This window comes from Homo sapiens, chromosome 2 (genome assembly GCF_000001405.40).
Source record: "Homo sapiens chromosome 2, GRCh38.p14 Primary Assembly".
In the NCBI taxonomy this organism is placed as follows: Eukaryota; Metazoa; Chordata; class Mammalia; order Primates; family Hominidae; genus Homo; species Homo sapiens.
In genome coordinates this window covers 226,993,076-227,018,989 of record NC_000002.12, presented here as the reverse complement: position 1 = coordinate 227,018,989, position 25,914 = coordinate 226,993,076, and the positions used below count along the sequence as shown (strand labels likewise).

Here is a 25,914-nt window from a genome sequence, read left to right as displayed (position 1 = left end):
AAAAATATGTGAATGGGTCAATTCTTTACACTTGAACATGATAGTTATCTTTGACATGAACAAGAACAAGATTCTCTCTCCATAGACTATGAGCTTCTGAAAGATGGTCTAGTGCTTATGTGGCCCAGGTGTGCTTGCCTGTAATCTCTAATTCCCCTGACTTAGGGTTTCATGGGCTCATCTGCTGCACGTGGCCACAGGAGGGCCTTCCCTGGGTTCCTGTGCCCTCTCTTTATTGGAGCCACTGACCCTGCCTGCTGGAAGTGGGGACACTCCAAGGCCACCTCTCTAACACCTACATGATTATGATGTTTTTTAAAAAGTGCCCCGTCGTTCTGGTGAAGCATCGCCTTCTCTTCCTATGTTCTCACCATGTGGCCCAGCTTCCCTGGGGCTCCTTTTTGTCCTGTGCACCCACTCCCAAGCCCTTGCTTTCTTCTGGGGCCCCTCTTCTCTGATAGGAGCCTCTGGGTTCCTGTTACAAAGGACCTCTCTTCTCCGCCATGTATTCCTCGGCCTTGTCTATGCCTGCTGGGCACACTGGCTGTATTGCTCATCCCGTCCAGTTACTAAAGAGTGACAGGTATATTCTAAGGGCCTAATGCCAAACCCTGGCTGACCTGGGCCATCTGTAGGCCATGTTGCTCATTCTCTAGCATTTCCTGAAGGTATTTTTTCAGCAGGGTGTGAGGGGCCATATACACCACTCCAGCCTGGGCAAGAAGAGCGAAACTCCATCTAAAACAAAACAAAACAAAACAAAAGAGTTGCAAGTCAAGGGTACTGGGAGAGGTTAATTCCAGTGTGGAGAACTGCAGGACAGCTAGGACCCCAGCAAGAGGTGGTATTTGAGCAGAGCCTTAAGGAAAGGTTGGGCTTATATACCACCACCACATATACCACCCTCAAGATTGGGTGCTGAAAAGAAATGGCTGCCACTAGAAAGAACAATGTTCACTTAAAATGATGTTGTTGGTATCTTCCTGTTTTCCCTTCAGAATCTTCTCTTTTCTGCTCCTCTACCTCCTCCTCCCCTCCAGCCTCAAGTAGACAAAAAAGATAACTACTGAGTACTGGGCTTAATTCCTGGGTGATGAAATAATCATCAGTACAACAAACCTCCATGACATGAGTTTACCTATGTAACAAACTTCACACGTACCCCTGAACCTAAAATAAAAGGTAAAAAAAAAATTAAAAAATCTTTTCTTTCATTGCTAAGCTGATTTTGTAACCATGTGCTACAGCTGAGACTTACCTAAAAATGAACAAACTTCTGGCTCTTTCCTGCCCAATATGGGTGGATGACAGCCACACGAAGTGGGTCGATTAGTCCACCACAGGAGGCCTAATGCTCTTCTACACACAGATCTCTTTGATCTACAACTTTTCCTTCCAGGGCGGCCCTCAAAGGCTGAAGCTTCCTACAGTGAACTCAAAAGTGTTTTCCATTTTGTTTTGAACTGTTCCTGCCTAATGGATGTACCCACACCCTGTTAGGGTTGTGTTTCTCTTCAAGGCAACACTTGCCCTCTCAGGAGGTCATCCATCTAACACTGGAGGGTTTGTTTTGATGTTTAGTTTTATTCCTTAAAACTAATTCCAAGTAGGGAACAAGTCCGTAAGGTGGAAAGCTCTGAACATAGAGCTCAGGTTAATAAGAAGAGCCTTCCTTCCTGTTTCTCAGGAAATGTCTTCCGCCTGACAATTTCTCTTTGCCTCACCCTAAAGGGAGTAAAGCCCACGTGATAACGTCTGGTGTGAGGACTCTTTTTCCCAGATCTATAGTGATCTCACCATGAGTCTATACATCAGGAGGAATCCCTGCTGCTGCCTGTTCAGTGGAAGGGAGAAACTCCTAACCCATAAGCACTAAGGCAGCCCTTTCTAGAATATATTGCATGTTGGAATCATCTTGTTGGGTGAGACAGAGAAAGGAATGCTCTGAGCTCACTGTTGGGGCCCCATGTTCCTTCCAAGATAACTGATACTCTCTTGGAAGGTGGTGGAGTTCCAGATTCCACCAGGAGTGCCACCCCGGGGAGAGGTTTCTGCCCAGTCACCAGGAAGGGCAGGGCTCCTCTCACCCAGATGGGGAGGCGGGGATGTTTCCTTTCTCACCTACTGAATGGTAACCACATACAGCATGCAGTCCAGGACACTCTGAAATAATTCGTTTCTAATCCTGGGAGCACAAAAGCATAACAGGAGCATATCGGACACTGGGATGTCTGCACTGAGTGTAGCTCAACCAGCACAGGGCATGGAGGGGAGAGACTGGCTGGTCGTAGGGATGTAAGAAGAAGGGGACACTCTCAGGCAGGCAATATGAGGACGTGACTTTACAATCAGTGGGGCGTGTGGAACCGAGGGCAGGCAAGTGAGACATCTACCTCATTACCTGAACACTTCAATCCCCTGCTTCAGCTTTGGAGCCAGATGATCTTTGCTGCGACCACTCAACCCTGTTGCTGCAGCATAGCTGTAGATAACACGTAAATGAATGCCTGTGTTCCACTGTAACTGGGGTTACTAAAATGGGCAGTAAATGGCCCACAGGCTGTAATTTGCCAACCACTGTTATAGAGACCGTAAGAAGCTTGAGGGCAGGATATTGTCTTATTCAGTGTGATATCCATACACAGGCCTGGGTCATGGAGGGTGTTTGGTAAACATTTGGTGAATGAACACGTGACTCCTGGATGTAGCCTACTGTGTGGAGCGGTTTCTCAACCTCAGTGCTGCTGACATTTGGGGCCCGATCGTTCTTTATCCTGGAGGGCTGTTTGGTGGATTCTAGGATGTTAAGCAGCATCTCTTGCCCCTATCCTGCTAGATGCCAGTAATGACCTCTTCCTCCATGTGAGGACCCAAAATGCCTCCAGACATTGCCAAGTGTCTGCTGGGGTGAGGGGTGGGGTGGGGCGGTGCAGAACCACCTAATGTTGAAGACCATTTATGTAGGGAAGGATGTGGTAGGAGATGGGAGATGTACCTTTAGCCTATGGGGGAGGCATTTGGTGAAGGGGAAGAAAAAAACTTTATTACAAAAGAAAAAAAAAGGTAACTTAAAACTAAACACACTTTTAAAAGACACAATTGCCTGTATATTTTTCCAGTTTTATTTCTGCACGATCATCCTAGGCATACTTGTTGGCAAACTGTTCTTAACATAACCTTACTTCTATGTCATTGCGTATTTTCCTACAATATTATCTGTAGTAGCTGAGGAATATTGCCTTATCTGATTGTGCCATAATTTATTTAACCACTACCTTCACCAATTATTGATTGGTTTGCTGCCAGCTGCTCTGCTAGAAAGAAGTTAATCCAACAAGGCCCTGCTTTTTGGAGCCACAGGCTAGCAGAAAATGAAGACATTGAGCAAGTCAGTTTGGACATGTTGAGTGTTAATAAGGGGTAATGTGGGAATTTCTAACAGGGGAGCTGAACCTGGGGGTAGGGAGGGGGCGTCACAAGGAACATTTAAGGCTTTGGTTCTCGAGCTTCATGAACCATCAGAATCCCTGAGGAGCTTGTTAAAACACAGCTCGCTGAGGTCCCCCCCAGACCTGATTTGTTAGGTAAGGAGAGGGCTCTGAGAGTCTTTATTTCTAACATATTCCCAGGTGCTGCCGCTGCTGCTGCTGGTCCAGTAACTACTCTGATTTAAGGAGTTTCCACTTTCTCACTACGATAAGCAACTGGTAATGATATCTTACTTATACGCATCCCTGATTATCATGAAGAAATAGTGTAATGGATAAGAACAGAGGTTCTGGAAATAAGGGCTGGGTGTGGTGGCTCACACCTGTAATCCCAGCACTATGGGAGGCTGAGGTAGGCAGATAACCTGAGGTCAGCAGTTTGAGACCAGCCTGGCCAACATGGTGAAACCCTGTCTCTACTAAAAATACAAAAAAATTAGCTGGGCTTGGTGGCGTGCACCTGTAGTCCCAGCTACTCAGGAGGCTGAGGCAGGAGAATCACTTGAACCTGAGAGGCGGAGGTTGCAGTGAGCTGAGGTCATGCCATTGCACTCCAGCATGGCCAACAGAGAAAGACTCCATCTCAGAAAAAAAAAAAAAAAAAAAAAAGCCAGGCATGGTGGCCCGTGCCTGTAGTCCCAGCTACTCGGGAGGCAGTACCTTTAGCCCTTGCAGGAGGCAGGAGAATCTCTTGAACTGGGAGGTGGAGGCTGCAGTGAGCCGAGATTGTGCCACTCCACTCCAGCCAGGGTGATACAGCGAGACTCCATCTGGAAAAACAAACAAAACACAAAAGAAATAAAAGAGCAGAGATTCTGGAAGTAGATGACATATGTTCATAACTCTGGCTCTACCACATAAGCCATGACTCAGTTTCCTGATCTGTAAGAAGGGCTGATTGTGAGGATTATGTGGATTCACTAACATAAAAAGCACTTAGAACACAGCCTGACACAGAATAAACAGTACTTGTGTTTGCTATTATTGTTGTTTCTTTAAACTAAATTCCCTGAGTAGAATTTCTGGTTTTAAGAATAGGCAGAAATATAGGATTTTCAAAATATGCCGCCAAGGTCATCACCGGAAAGAGTTTTAAAGTTAAATCATCTAGAGCACTGGTTCTCAACGTGTGGTTCCTGGGACTGGCAGCATCAGCATCACCTGGGGACTTCTAGAAATGCAGATTCTCATGCCCCACCCCGCCCTACCAAGGCAGATGCTGATTTCTACCAAAGTGTGAGCCAGTGTTCCAGAATGTCATTGGGGTTCTGTTCTCAGGAGCAGTAGGACCGTGTCATTGCACTGTTTAGCCCTGTGTTTCCTATTGATGTTGCTCAGGTGGGTTGGAGGAGGAAGATTGAGTCCAGGGTTGCTCTAGGCAAGTTAGCTACTCTACTACTTGTGGACGCACAGTCGGGGCCTCACCTGGGGCCGCAGAGGGGCAGGGAGGGGCCTGCGTGGGAAATCTTCGATTCTTGCTAGCTTGCAACATCAAGTCAAACCTCCTTAAACCTCCATGCATCCTTTTCATGACAGGGTTGCTGCTTTAAGGGTAGAGGGTTTCGGTCAGCGTCTGTGTTAACACACTCATTTAATGGTTATCAGGCAAGGCTGGTCCCTCAGTAGGGTGGGGGAGGGAGGCTCCATGAATTCCTGGGTTGACTGGCATCCTCAGCTTTATCATCATCCCCCAGTCACTGGAGGGTGAAGGCAAGAAGCAACAGTGAAAGCCACTTAAGCAAGCCCCTTTGATTTAATGTTTGATTTTAGGCTACGTGTTGGTCTGCTCGGGCCGCCACAACAAAGTATCACTGACACAGTGGCTTAAACAACAGACAATTTTTCACAGTTCGGGATGCAGAAGTCCAAGATCAAGGAGCCACAACAGGGCTGGTTTCTCCCAAGGCCTCCCTCCGTGGCTTGCGGATGCCACCATCTTCCTGTGTCCTCACGTGGCCTCTCCTCTGTGCCATTCCAGGGACATGCATCCCTGGGGTCCGTTTCTGTGTCCAAATTTTCTCCTTGCATAAGGAGGCCAGTCAGCCTGGATTAGGGCCCAGCCTAAGAGGCTCATTTTAACAGAATCACCTCCTTAAAGGTCTTATCTCCAAATACAGTCACATTCTGAGATACGGGGACTAGGACTTCAACATATGAAATTTGGGGGTACACAAATCAGCCCATACCAGGCTACTCTGTGGCAGAGAGAGAGAGACAGAGAGAGAAAGAGAGAAAGAGAATAGAAAACAAGTAGAGACTGGAAACCTGGAGAAGGCTAGTAATTCAGGAAATTAGGTATAATAGCAATAAACTCCCTCAAAGACAATGATTGTGTCTGCTCCCCTGACCGAAGGGAGATGGTGGCTAATTATTTGAGGCCTTGACAAAAAAGTAACTGCATACTTAAAGAACCCCTTAAGGATTAACGCAATTGCTGCCAAGTCCCCCAGGTTATATCCAGAGCTCTGCAGCTTGTCAGGCGCAGGGTCTGGTGGTTGATGGCCTCTGCACTTGGCTCCCTTGGGCCTAAGTTTCCTCTCCACATGTGACTGCTCTGTGACTTTTATGAGCCCCAGTCTCTTCACTGGTATAACTGGCATGTATGAGTACCTAGTCATATGGCTGCTGAGAAGACTGAATTGGACAATCCACGTAAAGGGATTAGCATGGTACCTAGCACATTGTAAACACTCAGTAAAAAGCTATTTTAAAAAATTGCTGCACCTATCATGCTCCAGATTTAACGTGACCCCAAATGAAACCGATTAAGTTTCATTCATTTCTCCATCTAGGCTTTGAAACAATCATTATTAAGGAAAATATTTATTATAAATGCCATACATGTTCAGTAGTTTTTTTTTTTTTTTTTGAAGTCAAATATATGAAGACTATGAAGAAAATGTGAAAACCTGTCTCTCAACACCTCCCTGGTCTGGCTTCAAATCCTGGCCTAGCCCTTTATGGGATCACTGACTTTAATTAAGCAAATTATTTGACCTCTCGGGGCCCCAGTTACGCCAACTGCAAGTGGAGATAGTAAAATCCCAACTTCATGTCATTGCAAAGACTAAATGAGCTGATGCATTCAGTCAAAGTGGGAAGGAAGCCTGGGGCTGGCACACGGCTGGCATACGGTATAAGCACGGTAAATGCTAGCAGGTGTCATGGTTGCTTTCACCACCAGCATCATAAACTTTTGTGCAGGGTGCAAAGGAGAGCCTGGGCTGGATGGCAGGAGGGGTGTGGATGGCGTCCCTGGGTCTCCTGGGCCTCCCGGACGTAAAGGTGACACAGGAGAAGACGGCTACCCTGGAGGACCAGGTAGAGTTTCAGTCACTCCTCTTTTCTCTGACACTGTAAACCTTAGAGTTGTATACAAAATCTCTGATCTCTCAAGTGGCTTTCCAAACTGGATCCTATTCAGATCATTTGCCTTAGATGCTGACTCACCAGGTATCAGAGACAGAAACAATGAGAACAGAGTGGGATGCATCTCTTATGTTCTAACTGATGTTAAACCATCATAAAACCTAGACAAGGCCCTGCATCCTATTCAGTATTTTCCCAAACTGCTATACATCATCATCAAAGTCTTGGCCATTTCTGCAGTTCACTTTTCAAGGTCATGAAGGGACGGTCAGCCTGGTGGCTGTGGGATCACCCTTAAGAGGCTGTGATGAAGACCTCAGGGACGGTGTGTGTGTTCTCACCCTCTCCAAGTGGCCAAATCGCCTGGTTTCCTGAGTTCACTTCATCTTATCATATAGCCATTAGTACACTGATGTAGAAAACAGGGCTCTTTCTTAAAAGAAAAAAAATGGGAAGTGGTGTTGGGAAAGGGGACATAGGACTCTTCAGAATAGAAGTGTGAAACAATGCACCATGTAGCTCGTTAGGCGCATGGATCCAAAGAGCCTGAGACACAATCCCATCTCCAGAGAGTCCCTGGCCAGGGATGCAAACTCCTGTACCAGGTTAGTAGTGAGTAGAAACGAATGAGGAGGGCTGGGTGAGGTCTGTAGCAAAATGGAGCTTTGGCTAAAAGCTGCAGCGCAGCTCCAGCCAATTATAGTCTACAGAAATGTGGGCCTACACTCTACACTCTCTTCGTTCAAAATATCAACTTGTAAAATCCTTACAGGTCAAAACACACGAGCAGGCCTGATTCAGTCCACAGGCTACCACTTTGTCGTCTCTGGTTGACAGTGTAGATGGGGAGAGCCTGCCAGTCTTGCAGAACCAAGGGTAGAACACAAAAAATACCTTTTGGTTTCAATGTCTAACTTCACCTTTTGCTCTTGGCAATTAGAAACAGCTCCTGGCCTTCTGCAATAGTTCAGCCCCTTAGAGGTGCCGAAGGATACAGACCCTGCTCACGTTCTCTAGAACTGTTGATTTCCCATCTGCCAACAAGAATGCTAGAACAAGGCCTTCCTTCCATTTCCCTCTCTTCTCGAAGAGGAGAGCCAAACTTGTAGATGTGGATCCCAAGCCTTTGGCTTTCTCAGAATGGAACTGATAATATGCTGGAACCAGGGAAGAGGTCTGGGAGGTGTAAGAAAGACCGACTTTGGGGAGCACTTGCTCAGCAGTTCAGTCTGGGGAGTCCACACTTGGGGTGTGTCATTACACTGTCCTTGTTCTTTTCTTCCCAGCGTATTTCATAACTTAACTTTTTGTTATGCTTATTGTTTCTTATTTCTCTCTCTTCCTCAAGTGTAATGCAAGCTCTATGAGGGCAGGGATTTTCCTCTGTTTTTTGTCTTTATGCTAATGTAGCCCAGGCATCTAGGAGTTGCTTGGAACAAATACTTGATGAATGAGTTGTTCTATGTACTGCAGCTGTGTAGCTGTGTACGTTCCAGAAGGCGAGGAGGGGCTGAGTCATGCTCCCCTCTGCTCCCTGAGTGCTTAGCACAGTGCCAGAACAGAGGTGCTTAACATATTTGTTAAACCAAACCCCCTAACCTGCCTTCAATTTTTTTCCTTTGTTCCTCCAGGGCCTCCTGGTCCCATTGGGGATCCTGGGCCCAAAGGGTTTGGCCCTGGATACCTCGGTGGCTTCCTCCTGGTTCTCCACAGTCAGACGGACCAGGAGCCCACCTGCCCCCTGGGCATGCCCAGGCTCTGGACTGGGTATAGTCTGTTATACCTGGAAGGGCAAGAGAAAGCTCACAATCAAGACCTTGGTATGGATACAGGATCGCCCATCTCCATTGCCTGAAGAGTAAAATTTGGGGTTAATTTTACTGATTCATCAGCACCTTAAATGATCACTAACCTTATATGGGATTATTCTTACTTTTAAAACAAAAACACTAGCATGGTCATTCTCAGCTAATCCTTTAAACTTATGATCCTATGAAGTGTCAAAGAAGCTCATTCTGGCTATAATTATTATCTGGCTATAATAAGTATATTATTATTATCTGGCTAATAATAAGTATATTATTAGTTTTATAAAAATGATTCTTCCTCAGTAAGTTAAATGTAACTCTGTTATGAAATGTACTTTTTGCTTCCAAATGTAAATTAACCAGAATGTGGTCAGTTCCTGTACTTACATGTAAAATGGTGCAGCCACAGCACGCTGATGGTTGTGTTACGGCACTTGCCAGCATCAACTCCCTACCCTACTCCAATTTAAATTACAGAACTTTATTTTGAGGGTCATCTTTTGGTGCTCCTTGTCACTTCTCCGCTCTCCGCTCTTCCCCTCCCCTACCTTCCCCTCCCCTCCCCTCTTCTCTTCTCTCTTCTCTTCTCTTTTCTCTTCTCTTCTCTTTTCCTCTTTTTTTTTTTTTGAGATGGAGTCTTGCTCTGTTGCCCAGGCTGGAGTGCAGTGGCACAACCTTGGCTCACTGCAACCTCCACCTCCAGGGTTCGAGCGATTCTCCTGCCTCAGCCTCCTGAGTAGCTGAGACTACAGACTTGTGCCACCATGCCTGGATAATTTTTGTATTTTTAGTAGAGCTGGGGTCTTGCGGCCAGGTAGGTCTCGAATATCTGACCTCAGGTGATCTTCCCGCCTTGGCCTCCCATAGTGCTGGGATTACAGGTGTGAGCCACCGTGCCCAGCCCTTGCCAATTTTCAATAGTAGATTTGCAAGCTGCGGGACTGATTTCAAGTCAAAGGCTTAAGTACCTGGCTGCCGGGAAACACTGTCTTTCCAAGAAAATCATGGTTAGAATGGAAGGTGCAGGAAGGATATGCTGACGGGGACAGTTGACGGTGAGGTGCTTGCCATTGCTCTCACTAGGCAGTGACCCCAGCTGTTAAAAAGGGTAGTCAAAGAGTGCAAGCCTGGGCTGGCAACTACTTGTACATCCCCTGCATTTCTCCCTTGGGTTTGGCCATGGCCTTTCCCATCACAAGGGGCTAGTTTCTTTGAGCACAGGAGAAAGGAGGAAGTGATGTTTAATATCCTGAATCTGTTTCCTTCTCTCCTTCTCTCCCTCTGCCATCAATTTCTTTCCTGCCTGGTCTTTGTACCATCATCCGTCTTGCTTCTCCCACCTTGGTCTAACCAGAGCACACATCTTAAAACTCTGCAGAACTCTTGGGATAAAGTCCAAACTCCTTAACGAGATTGACAAAGGCCACATCCAATGGTCTGATTTATCACTGGACACTCCTGAGACAGACAGTGCAGACACCCTCTCCTCATAGTCCCTGCACTGAACATGTCTGAGTTCTCTGAGCTCCACGATCCCTTATCTCCAACCCCCTCTGACGGTATATCTCTTTTGAGTAGTCACTACCACCATCTCCAAGCCTGGCTAAATCCTCTTCATATTTCAAGTCCTAACTTAAAATCACATATTCCAGTTATCCTTCCTTGAGGTCCCGGATCCCCACACTTCTCATTCTTAGGGCTTGTTGTGCTGTATTTTCATTGCTTGTTTGCTCATCCAGTTCCCTGCTAGGCCATGAGCTTCCTGAACACAGAGATGTGCTTGGTGCCCACCTCCAGCACCTGGCCCCCTGCTTGGCTCGAGTGAGGGATGAGGGGATGAGGGCTGGCCCACAGGACCAGGGAGGTGTCAGAAATGGCTTCCTCACCACAGAAGCAGGCTTTGGCGAGGGCCTCCAGATTTCAGAACACGTATCTGCAAAGGCCAGATGGAGGAAGGAAGGGTCTGGGAACACCTACATGGGGTGCTTGGACACCAGCTGTCTCTTCTTCCCTTCCCAAGGTCTGGCAGGGTCTTGCCTTCCCGTATTTAGCACGCTGCCCTTTGCCTACTGCAACATCCACCAGGTGTGCCACTATGCCCAGAGAAACGACAGATCCTACTGGCTGGCCAGCGCTGCGCCCCTCCCCATGATGCCACTCTCTGAAGAGGCGATCCGCCCCTATGTCAGCCGCTGTGCGGTATGCGAGGCCCCGGCCCAGGCGGTGGCGGTGCACAGCCAGGACCAGTCCATCCCCCCATGTCCGCAGACCTGGAGGAGCCTCTGGATCGGGTATTCATTCCTGATGGTGAGTCCCGTGCCCTTGAAAACCCTGGCTCATTCACCATTTCCTAACACCTTCTCCCGCCATTTCTCTCTGGATTGGACAGTAATTCTGAGCACTCTGCGCTTAGGACATAAGGTTACGGGGACTGTTGCAAACCATAGCCTGTTGGGATGCAGGGCCATTATCTTTTAAAAACACTTGTGATTGATTTTGATCACATTGGTAGAATTTAGAAGATGAGTTTGCTTCAGCCATCGGTGAAACTGGAGCCAATTTGTGTGCATACTTACCATGCTGAGTACGACTCCTTTTCAGCGCTTGTATTTTGTTCTTTATGGAATAATCTAAGGAAAAATGTTAAGATCAGACCCAAACCTGGGTGTGTCCCTGATTGGGTCTGGGGTTGTCTGTGTGTGTCTGAGCCCTAATTCTCTCTTGTTTTCTGGGTAGCACACAGGAGCTGGGGACCAAGGAGGAGGGCAGGCCCTTATGTCACCTGGCAGCTGCCTGGAAGATTTCAGAGCAGCACCATTCCTTGAATGCCAGGGCCGGCAGGGAACTTGCCACTTTTTCGCAAATAAGTATAGCTTCTGGCTCACAACGGTGAAAGCAGACTTGCAGTTTTCCTCTGCTCCAGCACCAGACACCTTAAAAGAAAGCCAGGCCCAACGCCAGAAAATCAGCCGGTGCCAGGTCTGCGTGAAGTATAGCTAGAGAATGCGAAATTCACCAACACGTGGCCAAGAGAAACTTCCTAGGGGGCTAAGACTTCCTAGACTGTGCTAAGAGATGTCATGGTGCTCATTTTGGACTCCCTTTCAGTGGTTCCTTCTGTTTTGTCGTGGTTATTCCCAGAGTCCTCTGGTTCCTTACACATTAAGCAAATGCTGCACAGATGGATTTGTTTGGACCTCCCAATCTAGGGAGCCTAGATACTCTTATTTTACTGAGGATGATCGAAGAACTGGCTTTACTTAAAAATATGCTAATTCTCAGAAAGGCAAGTAGATGATAAAGGCCAGATTACAAATTACATTACTGAAAACTTCATTCTTGGGTTAACAGTATCTCAAACAATTGAAGTCAATTACTCTATAATACAGTGGGCTTCTGGATGGATTTTATAGGAAAAAATAAACAGGTCAATGAATGAAACTAGAAAGCAGAGATTTTCAACATTTCAAAATGATTTCCTCTGTAATCTATTTTTCCATATACTTTAAATAATGGTAAAACCATGACGCAAAGAGAGATTTTTTTTTAAAGAAGAAAAAAAAAAATTCACACTGCCAGCGTTAACAGTTCCTTTCAAAGGAGAATGAATCATGATGGCAGGAAGGCCCACAGTCGCCGTATTCCAGAGATGCGACATTAGCATAAACACATCACAGATGAATATAAAACATTATGTTCTCTTCTGCATTTTTCAGAGAATAGAAATGCCTACTTTGGCAACCCTTTTGAAAAGTAGCAATTATGGAAAAAAAATATTCAATAAGAGATTAGGAGCCTAAAAGCTATTAGTGAATATTAAGGTAGTTATTCACAAAAATTGACTCCCCATTGCAGTGAACTTCCAGACAGACTGCTTTTCCCCAGTCGGGGTCCGGCGTGTCACAGGTGCGTGCGTGCTAATGGGACTGACGCTACATGGGGCTCACTCAGGCAGGCACGCGCTTCATACAAAGCATCTCACTCCCCTCCCCAGGAGAGCCTGCACAGCTTCTTGCACTCACAACGGACACTTTGCTCCACACACATAATGGCAGCTCACACAGGGACGTGACAGAGCTATCATTATGCACTTGGGAGAAAATTAAGGGCCGATTTAATTAAACTTAGGTAAGAAGATTCATTTAAGTCAGGGTTACCCCATCAGGAGGACATGGCACTATCTTTAAACGAAACAAAGACAATTTATAATTTGAATTTTATGCTCCCGTGGTTGGCTGTTACAGGAGCATCCCATTTTGCCAATTTTAAAGACATTCTTATATTTCATATCAGTCTTGTACCAAGGCAACAGTTTGACATTTGGCATTAGTATTTTCTAAAAAAGTTTAGAATGTGTGTCAATTTATAATGATTATTTTTTTCTGTAAAGCAAAAGATCCCTTTTTCTGTTTTGCTAGGAATTTGGTGATCTAATCCTAAATTTAAAAGATTTGTTGGAAAAAATTTTTAGGAAACTCACCTTCCTCATCTAAAAGAAAAAGGCATTTTAGAGAAAACTAAAGAAATTTCTCATGAGCGTGACACTCATTTTAGTGCTTTGTTTCCGTGCACTTAAAAATAATTGAGAAGAAAAACTCAATTAAAATTTTGTTTATAAGAAATGTTTTCCTTGCCAAACCTTGATTTGTAATGAGCTCTTATATGCAGAACACATTTCAAATGAGTTTTGCTATGGGCTGCCCCCAGGGTGGCAATTTATTTTAAGAGTATTTTCTGGTAAAAAGAAAAATGTGTATTTTAAGATGAAATATTTTCTTGATGTAGCAGAATATTTCCTAGTTCATTTGACCCATTTGATATTTTTTAAACCATGCTCTGGCATGTTGAATATTTTTGTGCACCTAAAACTTAAGCCAATTTCAATCTTATTTGTGATTACCTTTCTCCTTCCCAAAAAGCTTTATCTATTACCAAAAGTCAACCCTCCTAAAAGTTCAACCTGTTCATCTTGAACTTGGCCTGAGAACATTTTCTGGGAAGAGGTAAGGGTGACAAATGGAACATCAGAAACGTATCTTGCTTGCTAATTATTTTAAACACTTTAATGTTGGTATTAGAATATTATCTTCATAAGTTAATAAATAAGTAAAAAAAAAAAACCCACACAAAGACAGGCTAAATTATGTAGACAGTTTACTCCACAGTGAGCTTGGGAAGGTATCAGACTGTTCAAAATGTTAGTATTACAAGAGCTGTCTCTAAATGCAGCATTAACACTGCCCTCTAATTTTACAAAAGTATTTTAAAGGATCAAAAGGGCGGAAAAATAACTTCTTGGAATAGAAGATCCTGTTACCTTAAACCATTATTTTCTTCACCTGGTTATATATCAATGTGCCTTCAATTACCCTTTCTCTGTGGAGGTGATGAACAAAGCTTTTAAGTTGTTCTCCTAACCCATTATTGGAGATGATCCTTATCAAACCCTTCTCTCCCTGCCTCCCCACCAACCTTGTAGACTGGAACGTGCCTAGATTGCCCTAATGGGAACTGTTCTGTTCTGTGCCCGTGCTGGAAATCTGGGATGCTTCCTTCTGGGTTCTGATTCTCAGTGAGTGGAGCCCATTCATCCAGGCAGGTTTCCATGCTATGAGTGGCCCTTTCGTTCTGCTCTCACACTCCCCACATTGAAAGCTGAGTCATCGCTGCTTTGGATGGCTACCTCCTCTTTAGCCCCGTGCCCGTCTCACACAGCCTTTGTTTTCCACCTCCACCCTTGCAGTAGGCATCTCCCAGTTGGTGCCTTAGTTTCAAATCCCAGTTGCCATCTAAGATCCACCCAAACTTGATTTTGTCACCCTCTGGATTAGAATCCTTCTGTGACTCCGCTGCCCATGAAGTCCAAATGACTTCCTATGGGGTGAAAGGTCCAGTGGGGACTGTTCGAGGGTTCCCTCTAGGAGTATTTCCTGTCATGATGAACTGTGTGCAGCTCTGCAGACACTCCCAGCACCTCTTCGACTTTGCTCCTGCTTCACCAGTGATGTCCTCCCTGGGGTCAGTTTACCCTGCGTGGGAGGTGAATTCCCTGGGGGAAACTTAGGCTCCCTTCTGCTGCTCTTGTGCAGTGCACGGGGCTGTCCTCATTTTCTCCGTTCCCCATTGCTTCTTTAATGTCTCAGTGCACTTCCTTCATTCCATTGCCAAAATGCAAGCCCCTTGAGGGCAGGGACCATGCTTGACTCGTTTTTGTATGCCTAATGCCTAGCACAGAGTTGAACACATTACTGCCAATTCATTTTTTTCAATGACAATTCCATAAACATCATTAGGCATTAGGTGTTCAGCTCTGCATATAAGGTCTTCATCAGCAAGACGGTTACAAGTATAAACCATTTCCTATTTCAGAATATTTTAATATTCAACATATTTGTATACCCACATTCTCTTGTTACAATTATTGCCAGAAAGCCAATTGATAAGCTTTCAAAATGGGCTTATCACACCCCTCCAAAAATAGATTTTTGTTTTTTCTATAAACAGAAATTTCAGAAATGAGATTTGAGAGATCCGACTGAGAAGACCCTTCAGTAAAATGTGACATGACTTACCTTATGCTGTAATCTGTATTCCCTCAGGATTTAAGAGCTTCCTAGCATAAAATCTTTGCTAAACGTTTGTGTACATGTTATTGGTGCTCCGAAAAATAGTCAATGGAATGGTGCACTACAATTGGGCTTTATCATCTTATTTTGAACCTCGTGTAGATTACAGTAAAGCAAACCATTCAGTGTGTTCCAGGAAATTATATTAGATCTGTGTTTCTATCAGCTCACTGGAATAATCTGATAATTGTTACTTTTACTTGGTATGGCTGCAAGAATAGTGGAAAGAAGAGGACTTGAGAGTTGGTCGAACCCAGGTTTGAAATCTGGCTTAGTCATTTTTCAGCTGTTATCCTGGGTGAGTTTTGCCAACTTTCTTAGCTTCATTTCCCTCATTAATACGGTGGGACATAACAGCTACTCTTGCATTGAAAATTAAGTTAGATTACCTGTCTAGCATACCCATCATCATACACTTACTATGGTCACATTTTGTATTTAAAATAAACTAATACGAAAAATATTTCTTTTTTTTTACACAGAATTATGATTCTCACAGGGTATATAAATTACTGATTAGAATTATTTATATGTGGCCAATTCTTAATGTCATTGGGAATGCTGTTTCATTTCAATCCTCAAAGTTACTGTAGCACAGAAAATATCACAATTTCCTGCAGGGACATTATCAGTAAGTTCTGCAGGGAACAAACAATTGACATTAAAAATCAGTACTCTGCAATTGTCACTGTTATCATCTGCTAGAAACTCTGCATAATGCATTTTAAACCACCAAGGCTGGCTGCCACATCCATGTGAAATGCTTGAATTTTATGGTGCTTAAATATTTAATGATTCATGGGAAAAATGTGAAATGTGTCTAATAAATTGCATCCCTTTCTCTAACCTCTGGTTGTAAAGTTAAAGACTTTCAGCATGTAACTTTTGCAAGATGCCTGGTCTGCCATTGGCACTTAAATATTTGTTGTATTACGATTTATAATATGGTTCATTATATATAAAATTCTGTGATGACTTCCAAAAACAACTGTGTTTTATCTGGTGCATTTATTTTCTTTCAAGCCAATGCGGGTTTACTTTTTTCTTCTAGCTTACATTGTAATGTGGCTCACACTTGTGGAAGTGTGAACTGCAGAAGGGAAGAGTGTAGGCTGGAAAGGATGAGATTCAGAGGCTCTTGGAAACACTGTTCTATGCACAGTGATGGCGCGCAGAAGAGAAATGAAAGCAGGCCTCAGGGGGAAGGTCTGTATCAACCCCACGGGAGCTGCTTGGGCAGTGGTCAGTGGGCATGGGGCTTACACCCTCTTGGCCTCAGCTGTCTCATTAGTTGAGTGAGAATAAGACCATTTGCTTCACAGCATTGTTGGGAGGATTCAAGGTGTGAAAGTTAACTACAAAGAGATTTATGAAACCAAAGATATTGTTACTTTTAACCACTGTGACTTGAAGTCAGGAGTTAGTTAGGTATTGATTACATTTCTCTTTATAGCCAAACAACATGGGGGTAGGTGGAGTGCAGATATTCAATAACTGCTTTGTGGCCTTTTTTTTTTTTTTTTTTTTTTTGAGACAGGGTCTTGCCTGTTGCCCAGGCTGGAGTTCAGTGGTACAATCATGGCTCACTGGAGCCTTGAACTCGCAGGCTCGAATGATCCTCCTGCCTCACCCTCCCCAGTAGGTGGGCTACAAGCATGTGCTACTGTGCCTGGTTAATTTTTAATTTTTATAGAAGCAGGGTCCTGCTCTGCTGCCCAGGCTCGTCTTAAACTCTTGGCTTCAAATCATCCTCCTGCCTCAGCCTTCCAAAGCATTGGGATTACAGGCATGAGCCACTGCACCCAGCCTTGGACTTACTTTTAAGTAGGAAGGAACTTCATTGGTATTTGGGCCAACCTTTTACCTGATAGAGAAATAAGGGTACTCAACTAACAAACATTCCCTGACCGTCTACTATGTCACAGCAGCAGTATTGGCTCTGCTATATATGCTTCCTCTCAACCCTACAGCTGTCCTATTTTGCAGACAAGGAAACTGAGCTTTAGAGAGAATAACTACTTTAAGGTCATACAGTCACCATCTAGTAGAATCCAAACCCTCGTCTGTCTGTTCTAAAGATAATACTTTTATCCTTTACTCCATTACCTCCCAGCGGCTTTCCCCATTCGTGAATTGGTTAGAAAATAGAGGGTCTCACATAGAGGTGTCCTGGATTGCTCCTGTCACTGCAAAGCCCCTTGTTTTACGGGTTCTAAGGTAGCCCATCCAGCTCAGCTTGGAGACTGTCTCAAGCTGTTCTGGAGGGAGGGGGTGAGGAACCCATGAGGACAGAGCTATTTTGGGGGAATCCCACAGGCCTTTATCTCAGGGTCAACTGAAAACCAGCCATGTCCAAGGTGGGCGGATCATGAGGTCAGGAGATCAAGACCATCCTGGCTAACATGTGAAACCCCATCTCTACTAAAAATACAAAAAATTAGCTGGGCCAGGTGGTGGGCACCTGTAGTCCCAGCTACTTGGGAGGCTGAGGCAGGAGAATGGCATCAACCTGGGAGGTGGAGTTTGCAGTGAGCTAAGATCGTACCACTGCACTCCAGCCTGGGCAACAGAGCGAGACTCTGTCTCAAAAAAAAAAAAGAAAAAAGAAAAGAAATGAAAACCAGCCGTGTCTCCTGTATTAGTCCATTTTCATGCTGCTGATAAATTTTCATACCTGAGACTGGGCAATTTACAAAAGAAAGAGGTTTATTGGACTTACAATTCCACGTGCCTGGGGAGGCCTCACAATCATGGCGAAGGTGAAAGGCACGTCTCACATGGTGGCTGACAAGAGAAGAGAGCTTGTGCAGGGAAGCTCCCCTTTTCAAAACCATCAGATCTCGTGAGACATATTCACTATCACAAGAACAGCATGGGAAAGACGTTCCCCCATGATTCCATGAGACCTCCCACCGAGTCCCCTCCCATGACACGTGGGAATTCAAGATGAGATTTGGGTGGGGACACAGCCAAACCATATTACCTCTGGAGCCCCTAGAAACCCAAGGTCAGTCATTTAGGGCAACTGCTCTGAGCTGGAGAAAGGAGGATCTGAAGGCCCTTACTTGATGCTCAGTCACTGCAGCACCAGCCAACTTAGTCATTTTTGTTCTCCCATTTGCCAGCAAGGCAATTCCTTCATACATTATCTCTAGGGGGTAGCTTGCATCCTCAGTGATTATATACTTAGTGGTTATAATTTTATCAGCCACAGATGAAATTCTCAACCTGTAATCATTTTTATGTTTGATAAAAGTAGGGAAAATTGTATAATGAGGAGTAAGATGTTCTTCTGGTCCCCAAGCAGTCAGTCTGCTTTACATGCAATAAATGGTGTAAAATGCACTTGTGCGCACTGAAATTTGAGAAGTACTTTGGTGCCTATAAACCACAGGGGACCTGTTAAAATGTAGATTCTGATCATTTGGTCTGGGGAGCAGGAGTCTGAATCTGTAGAAGCTTCCAGGTGCTGTGGGCCCTGGGTGCACACCCTGAAGAGCAGAGAGGTTGGCCTTGGTGCTCCTCTATAACGAGAGTCTGAAGACCTTGTTCAATTCCATTAATAATTATCTGCTACTAAGGATATGCAAGATAGATTTAAATTGTTGAGGGAGAGGATCTTGTAAAGAGATAGTATCTCAAGGTCAGAGGCAGGCAATAACTTGAAAGAATCTCAAATAAATATCATGAATCTCTTAAGTTACAAACTTTCGTTTGATTTTTGTTTTTAGAATTTTCATCCAGGCACTAAACAAGTTATCTAAGGGGGAAATAGTGAGAGAAAGACACAGTAATTTCACAACTTCCTGGCAGAAACCCTCACTGGAGGTGGCTGAGCAGTGTTTTTCAAAATACTTAGAGAAGGGATCCAGTTTCGCATCCAGAGAGCCACACAGCAGAAGTGTTGTTTCTAGGGTTTTGCTTGTGTGTGTCCCAGATTCCAAGAGTCTCTTTAAGCCACATGATGCCATTGATTTTATGACACTACTCTCTTCCCAAGCAGCAATACCTATTATGACCAAATTTAATGATTTCTATTATATTAGCAACATTTTAGTTTTTCTAAAGTATAAATCACATATCTAAATCTGCCAATTCATCTATCATCTGATCGAGATGTTAAGATCATTCTCTCTCTGCCCCTAAATACCACAGAAGGAAAAAATGTTAGCACAAACACATCCAACGCAGACCTGTAAAAAGCACATGGCAAGATTCGGTACTACTCACAGGGACTCCTTGGTGACACTTCTTGGTCGTGTGGGAATCTTGAGCTTTGTGTACCAGGTCACAGCATTCGATGCAGTGGGACATGTCTTCAGGCTGACAAAGGCCCTGAAGTCTCTATTTCTACCAGCAAATGCTTTCCATCATTCTTTCCTTGATGTGATTGATTCAAGGGAAAAAAAAAAGACCTACAATGATATCAATAAGCACCAGGCACTAGTGTTTATGTGCGCCACTGGTGACAGTATAAATGAGCTTCTCTTTTTGTTTCAATCCACAAGTATTTATTGGTTCTGACATTCCAGACAACGTACTGCTCAAGGCACTGTGAGGAGAGACAGAGAAACAGATGGTCCCTGCCCTCATGAAGCTTACAATTTAAAGACAAAGACATTCTCTCATTGCAGCATAACCAGCAATTCCAAGTGGTATGTGGAAACTGTGTAGATGTGGTTGTGTCTGTTACAGGATTCAGATGGGGGCTGGATGAGGAGGATCTGAATGGGCCAAGAGAGAGGAAAGAGCTGTTCCATGTAAAAGCACAGCACAGAATGTCACAAGATCAGGAACACTCACAGCCTGAGCAGTGAGACTAGTTACCAGCCTCTGTGATGGATAAATGGGGCTGAGGTCCAAAGGCTGGTTGAAGCCCACTGTTGAGGCTAATGACTTTGACCTTTATCCTTTGGCAGCAGAGAGCCAATGAAAGGTATTTGAGATGCTGAGTGGCATCATGAAAGTGAATTTTGGAAGACTAAGCTGGAGTTATGTAGAATTGAGTGAGGAGGTATTGTTAAGTATTGAACAGAGCAAATAATTGAGATACTGTGACTCTCTAAGCTGAGAGTCTGTGATTCTAAAATAAAATACTAGCAGCCATGAAAAAAAAAGAGAAGAAACTTAGGGAATGACTGCAATGATTCATGGGAAGGGAAAGGAAGAAGTTATATATATATTTTTTGACTAATTGAATGCTATTCTTTACTGAATACTGAATCTCTCAAGAAAAACTAAGACTGGGAACAAGGAGGCCAGGTCTGCCAGCTACCCCATTCTCGCCCTGCCTTGCAGTGCAATTTCCAGGGTAGGGGGAGGTGGTCTTTCTCATCCCTTTAGCTTGCTTACTCCCCAGGCAGCAGAACATGTGCCAAATAGATAGACAGGATCTAGTTCTACTCAAACTAGTTATTTACTGCAGCAGGCAATTTAAAAGGATGGAGGAGGTCTGAACAATTATGTACAACTTTGGAATCACAGGCAATACATTCAGAGTCATTAAGAGGAAGCAATTTTAACTACTGCCTCCTCTTCAGAACCAAGTAAAGATTCTGCATTAAAAGGTCGCTTAAGTTGACTGACCACACCAAACTGTGGGAACCAGGGGCTTAACAGACAATCAGGGAGCTACTAATAAATAAACCAAATTAAAAAATTAGCTCTAAGTGCTTATTCCCTACTAGAGATAATTAGTCTAATACACTTGCTCACTTGCTTTTGTCTTTCTCAATCCAATTCCAGTTTGTTGGCATAACTTTAGGGATTCCTTATTGTAGAGGAAAATAAAATAAAATGGACATTCCAAACATAAGCACTTGTTACAGGCAAGTCCATTAACTAAAATAATTATAATAATTTCCAGAACATCTTTATTGTTGTGCTAAAGTAATTGGTTTACATTTATAACTAAAATGACCTTTCTCACATCACTAAGATGTTCCACTCCATCAACAGCCATGCGTATCACAATTTTACCACCCAAAATCTAATCCCGTGTCTTTGTATCTGACAAGTCAAACAGAGCAAGGAAGTACTACTAGTGGACTCAAGTGATATAAAAAAATAAAAAATAAAATACTTCCATATACAGTGACTGGACTCTTAATACAATGGAAAAAATACTTTGGTGAAACACTGACATTTAGTGAGCCCCTATCGTGAGCCTTTGGGGTTGGAAAGGGGAGACGGGGAGTGAGTGGAAAGATAACTAAGACTCAGGCCTCATTACAGAGTCATTCACAATCCATGTTCCCACGTAGAAGGCACACCTTTGTGTAGCTGTGCACAGTTAATAATAGGGGCAAGATGTGTTATAGCAGAATTACCAAATGCTATAAAAGTGGCATGAAACAAAGAAGTTACTTCTAATTGGGGTAACGGGAGTCAAACTTACAGAATTTGGGAGAGAGCAGTAACATTTAGCTTGAATATTTTAATTTAAACACATTTAAAGCTTCTAGACTCACAGGTACAATTTATATTATAAAGAAGATGTAGTTTTATATCAGTTATAAATTAACCAAAGGAGCTCAGATATTACTGGGCCAGCCAGGAGGCCAAAGAGCTCCCAAGGCTCCAGTGGTTTTCTTAGCTCATTTCCATGCAGGTGTCAAGGCCTCTTCCAGGTAAATTCAGATTGGATTTGGACACAAAACTCCATGGTCAATGTGCTCCAAATTTGCTGAATGTATCAACGGAAAAATTGATAAGACAATACCACCAAAATGTTAACCCTGGGTACCTCTAAGGGTAGGGCTACAGGTGACTTTAAAATTGTGTATGTATTTATTTGTATTTCTGTTTATATTGTGAATTTTCTCAATGGACACATAGTATTTATTTTTAAGTCTGTTTTCTTGACTATATGTTATTAAATATGTTTTCCTGATTGTAAAAGTAACACACACACATAAACACATCTTCCAAGACAGTAATATAAAATTATAAAAATGAAGAAAGCAAAATCCCATGTACTCCACTCCCAAAGATAACCCCTGCTAAGATTTGGGTATATTTCTTTCCAGATGTTTGCCTTATGCATCTGGAAGGCATATCTATTATGTGCATAATCAGAAAACTATATAAGTTGTAGATCAAAAAAGGAAGATCTTTTCCTGCTTCTCTCTTTTAAAATATCTCTGTTGACAGTAAGACATCAGTGATCTTCTGACTTTGTCCTTTTATTCATGGAACACAAGCACCAGGAAATGCCTTAAACGACTCAGACAGACAATCTGTGGATTGTAACGTGGCGGGGCCCAAGGGCGTGTTTTGGACATTTGGCTAGGACAAGTGGCTGGTACAATGGCCAATTAAGAGGCACTTTTATGAGGAAAAACATACTTTCTGCAAGATAGATCTCTAGTGACCGATCCACCAAATGCCTTCGCTCTACTCTGTATGTGGCATCTGCTGCTACTTTGCTGATGCGTTAAATGATGTCCTATCTCCTGGACACACAAGCTGCCACTGGGAAGGGGCTGGGAACCTACATTGCTGGTGTCACTGATACTAATGGTGTGTGTAGGAGTCTTCCCCACCTTAGGTCTTTCTTACACTTCTTCAATAAGACTTTCTATAAAGGCAGAGCAATACCAGAGCAGAGCGAAAGCCCTGCAAACACCAGCCAGACGCAGGGGCCCGAGGAGCTGAGGAGCTGAGGCGCCGGGGTTGGGGAGAGTAGGACAACATTCGGCCAAGGCAGCCACATCCTGTTCCTGGACAGCCACAGTGGCAATGCGCCAGGAGGACGCGGGGATGGCTCCACACCCGCTGCCAAGTCAAACACGGGGCACTCCAGGCAGAATGAGGGACTAATCTTCCCGACTGGTGTAAGTAAAACCTCCTGGTGAAGGTCACAGTCTTCAAAAGCAGACCGAGGCAGAGGCATCGCTGAGTCAGCAGTGAGAGATGGGAGCGTGGAAACTGGTCTCTTCATGGAGGAAGTGACCTGTTTATGAGCAAGAACAAGGCCAGGAGAAGGCCCACTCCCCGCAAGCTGTGAGTTGACTCATAGGGGCCATGGGACTGTCCCAGGTGATGTGAGCGATCTGGAGCAATACCGGTGTACTCTGCTTTTGTTTAAAATGAATTAAAATGAATTAGGGGCTTGGGGAATGAGCCAAATGGGCAATAATTACACGAATAGGCCATGTCTTCCCAAGATGCCACCTCACTGGCTATCGAATCTGTGAAGCCGCTGTCTCCTCATTTCTTCTGGTGAGAGATGAAACCCGTAGGGTGGTGGGCTATTTCTGGTATTTCCTGTAGTGAGAAAGCCAAAGGAAAAATCAATCATTCTGACGTGACAAGGCATGTGTACCCTAGGATTCCAAGGGAACAAAGTGATAGCTTGGGTGTCATCTTCATTTTAACACAAAACAGAAATATAACAAAGATTTTTCAACTTCAGCTGTCAGTACTAAATTTCAACGTCAAGTAAATATTTTTAGAGTGGTTCAGCCATGAATCTGATTTGACTCATTTTGAGGCTTCTTGATAATCTTCCCACTTGTATTTTTCCTTCCATCGTGCTCCATAATTTGCATCATTTAGGCTTACACAGTATCTCAAGGGCTTATTGTCTTTTTTTTTTTATGCCCATATATAACTTGTTGCCACCTTTACTAACTTCCCCACCAACTAGGCTGGTTTGGCTTCTTCTGATCAGCCTTTGGGTGCTCCTTTTCTTCCCTCTAATGTGCCGCCTCCTGCCCCAATGTGGCCAATAAGAATCATGCGTGATTGAAACACACAAGCAACCACTGGAGCAGAGTTACCATACTGATCAATATCTGGGCAGGTAAACAAAGATGTAGGCATCATATTTCAAGATCATATGAAGGACTGTGGAAATCGTTACTGAAAAGAGTTTCTTAGGGATGCAAACTTACCAAAAACACAGTTTGTAATGATACAAGAATTTCAATCACTACATAAGAAAGCATTCTCCCAGGCATCATGAGTAGTAATAAAGGGAGAAAAATACATAGTCCTTGATCTCAAGGAACCAGCAACCTAAAGGTAATGAAAGAGCTTCAATATTCCCCATGAGGAAACCAGGAAGACACATCACTGATAGATACGGGTAAGTAGAGGTTTACTTCTAAGCATGGGGACCAAAAAGGCTGTACCTTTTCACTACTATAGCTCTGCTAACCTTGGTAATTTGCACTGAAAGGCTCTCTCCCATCACCTACATCAACCAGAAGTCTTACTCACTCTTGTAATGCTAGGTCAACCCCGATAGAACCAATGGAAGAACTCTTCCCAATTCAAACTCTTCAGCTTTCGGCACCTTCCGTTTGTTTGTCTTCATTCAATCATCACCACATCCTGCCAGATGTGTAGGCATTTCTGCACCACTCTGTTCTCTCCTACCAGGATCATAAGCTCTAAAATGGTAGGGGACCCCCTGACCTATCTCCCTCTCCCCAGCATCTGGGACAGTTCTGAACACACAGTAGCTGTTCAATAAATATATGGACTTGACTCAACAGCACCTGCTTATGACTTCCAATGCTGCCCAGTGAGGTTCTGACACAACTCATTGCCCATGAAGGGAACTGCATGGAGGAATTAGAAGAGGCAGACTGGGAAGGTGCCCGCAGTCCAGCTCTCAAAAGCAGCAGCCAGCACACATGGCCTTGGACCCATTTGCAGAACCCAAATGTTCTGGCAGCACTAGCCTGGCTGGGAAGGGAGGGTGGGCAAAGCACAGTTAAGCCAGGAGGGAAAGCAAGTAAACAGTGGATCCCTCTTGCTCATTGCCCAAGAGTGGCACCTTTTCAAAGATGTGTCCATCTATGCATAAGCTGACATGGCAACTGTTAAAACCATAGTGAAAAGATGTTAGAGAAAGCAGTGGGAAACGGAGTCCGTCTTTTCAATCCACAGCTGAAGTTTCCGTTGTCAAAGAGAAATTCAAAAAAGCAGTCAAAGCCAACCCCTTTTTTATATTTTTGCTTCTCTACTGATGAAGATCCCAGTGCTTCCCCATAACTGATTCTCCTTTCCTGTTGAGAGCATGGGAGAATTATACCTCCCCAACCCCTGGTACCCTTCCTGACTAGAACACCCCAAAATAAACACCCCAAAAAACGTTTTTGCCATATGTATTTGTAAAGGAATCTCTCTTTGTTCAAAATGGTAAATGCTTTGAAATTACATATTCATGAATCAAATCACCAGTAGTTGATTGCTTAAAACTGTTTTATATGATGAGATCCAAATTCTCCTTTGCCTTTAACAGTTGTTTTTAAAAAGACTGGTCTTAATTGCACTTGTGAGTGCAGGCCAGGACTTGACACCTCATTCCAGATGGCCTGGGAACTCTGTTAGAACTAGCTGAGGGCAGAGTCAGAAGCAAGCTCGACGTGGCACCCTGACTCCAGGCCACAGGGCAGAAACCCATGGAGGCTGAAAGACTGCTGAGACTCCCAGAGGGAAACACAGAGTCCTCTGGTGTTTTCTTTAGCGTTTCTTCAAAAGAAAAAGCCCGCAGATTAATAATTTCCATGAAGGGAACTGCCTGGAGGAATTAGAAGGGGCAGACTAGGAAGATGCCCGAGGTCCAGCTCTCAAAAGGAGCAGCCAGCACACACGGCCTTGGACCCATTT

The 25,914-nt window shown here is 44.1% G+C and overlaps 2 protein-coding genes across 46 annotated transcripts in view, besides 2 other annotated features; one reads left to right on the top strand and one right to left on the bottom strand.

The window, feature by feature from the left end:
• COL4A4 (collagen type IV alpha 4 chain) overlaps positions 1-25,914 on the top strand; it is a 197,129-nt gene that overhangs the window by 145,499 nt on the left and 25,716 nt on the right. For 10 of the 29 annotated variants that reach the window (XR_922837.3, XR_001738602.2, XR_007069255.1 and 7 more), the window contains exons 45-47: positions 6,693-6,809; positions 8,489-8,677; positions 10,686-10,972. The exons of 8 other annotated variants lie outside the window; for them this stretch is intronic. Coding sequence is in view for 18 of the 21 variants with exons in the window: in XM_011510562.3 (XP_011508864.1) it covers positions 6,693-6,809; positions 8,489-8,677; positions 10,686-10,972 (593 nt within the window). In the remaining 3 variants the exon portion in view is untranslated. Of the gene's footprint in view, positions 1-3,629; positions 3,708-6,692; positions 6,810-8,488; positions 8,678-10,685; positions 16,277-25,914 lie in introns of those variants that run through there. 11 more of the 29 variants (XM_047443228.1, XM_005246281.4, XM_005246282.4 and 8 more) reach the window with 4 other exon arrangements.
• Positions 19,780-25,914, bottom strand: part of RHBDD1 (rhomboid domain containing 1) — a 199,052-nt gene continuing 192,917 nt past the window's right edge. For all 17 annotated transcript variants that reach the window (NM_001349069.2, XM_047445998.1, XM_047445995.1 and 14 more), the window contains one exon: positions 19,780-23,559. In NM_001349069.2, coding sequence (NP_001335998.1) covers positions 23,468-23,559 — 92 coding nt within the window. In that variant the 3' untranslated portion in view covers positions 19,780-23,467. The remainder of the gene's footprint in view (positions 23,560-25,914) is intronic.
• Positions 22,713-23,912: an enhancer, noted in NCBI's record as "P300/CBP strongly-dependent group 1 enhancer chr2:227859794-227860993 (GRCh37/hg19 assembly coordinates)". NCBI's record gives its function as "activates an origin of replication core promoter dependent on BRD2, BRD4, P300/CBP, MED14 and CDK7 cofactors, with strong dependence on P300/CBP, by STARR-seq in HCT116 cells {active_cell/tissue: HCT116}" and the evidence as "EXISTENCE:reporter gene assay evidence [ECO:0000049][PMID:35650434]".
• Positions 23,032-23,533: an enhancer, noted in NCBI's record as "H3K4me1 hESC enhancer chr2:227860173-227860674 (GRCh37/hg19 assembly coordinates)". NCBI's record gives its function as "activates a minimal SCP1, AML or CMV promoter by ChIP-STARR-seq in primed H9 embryonic stem cells {active_cell/tissue: H9 hESC(primed)}" and the evidence as "EXISTENCE:reporter gene assay evidence [ECO:0000049][PMID:30033119]".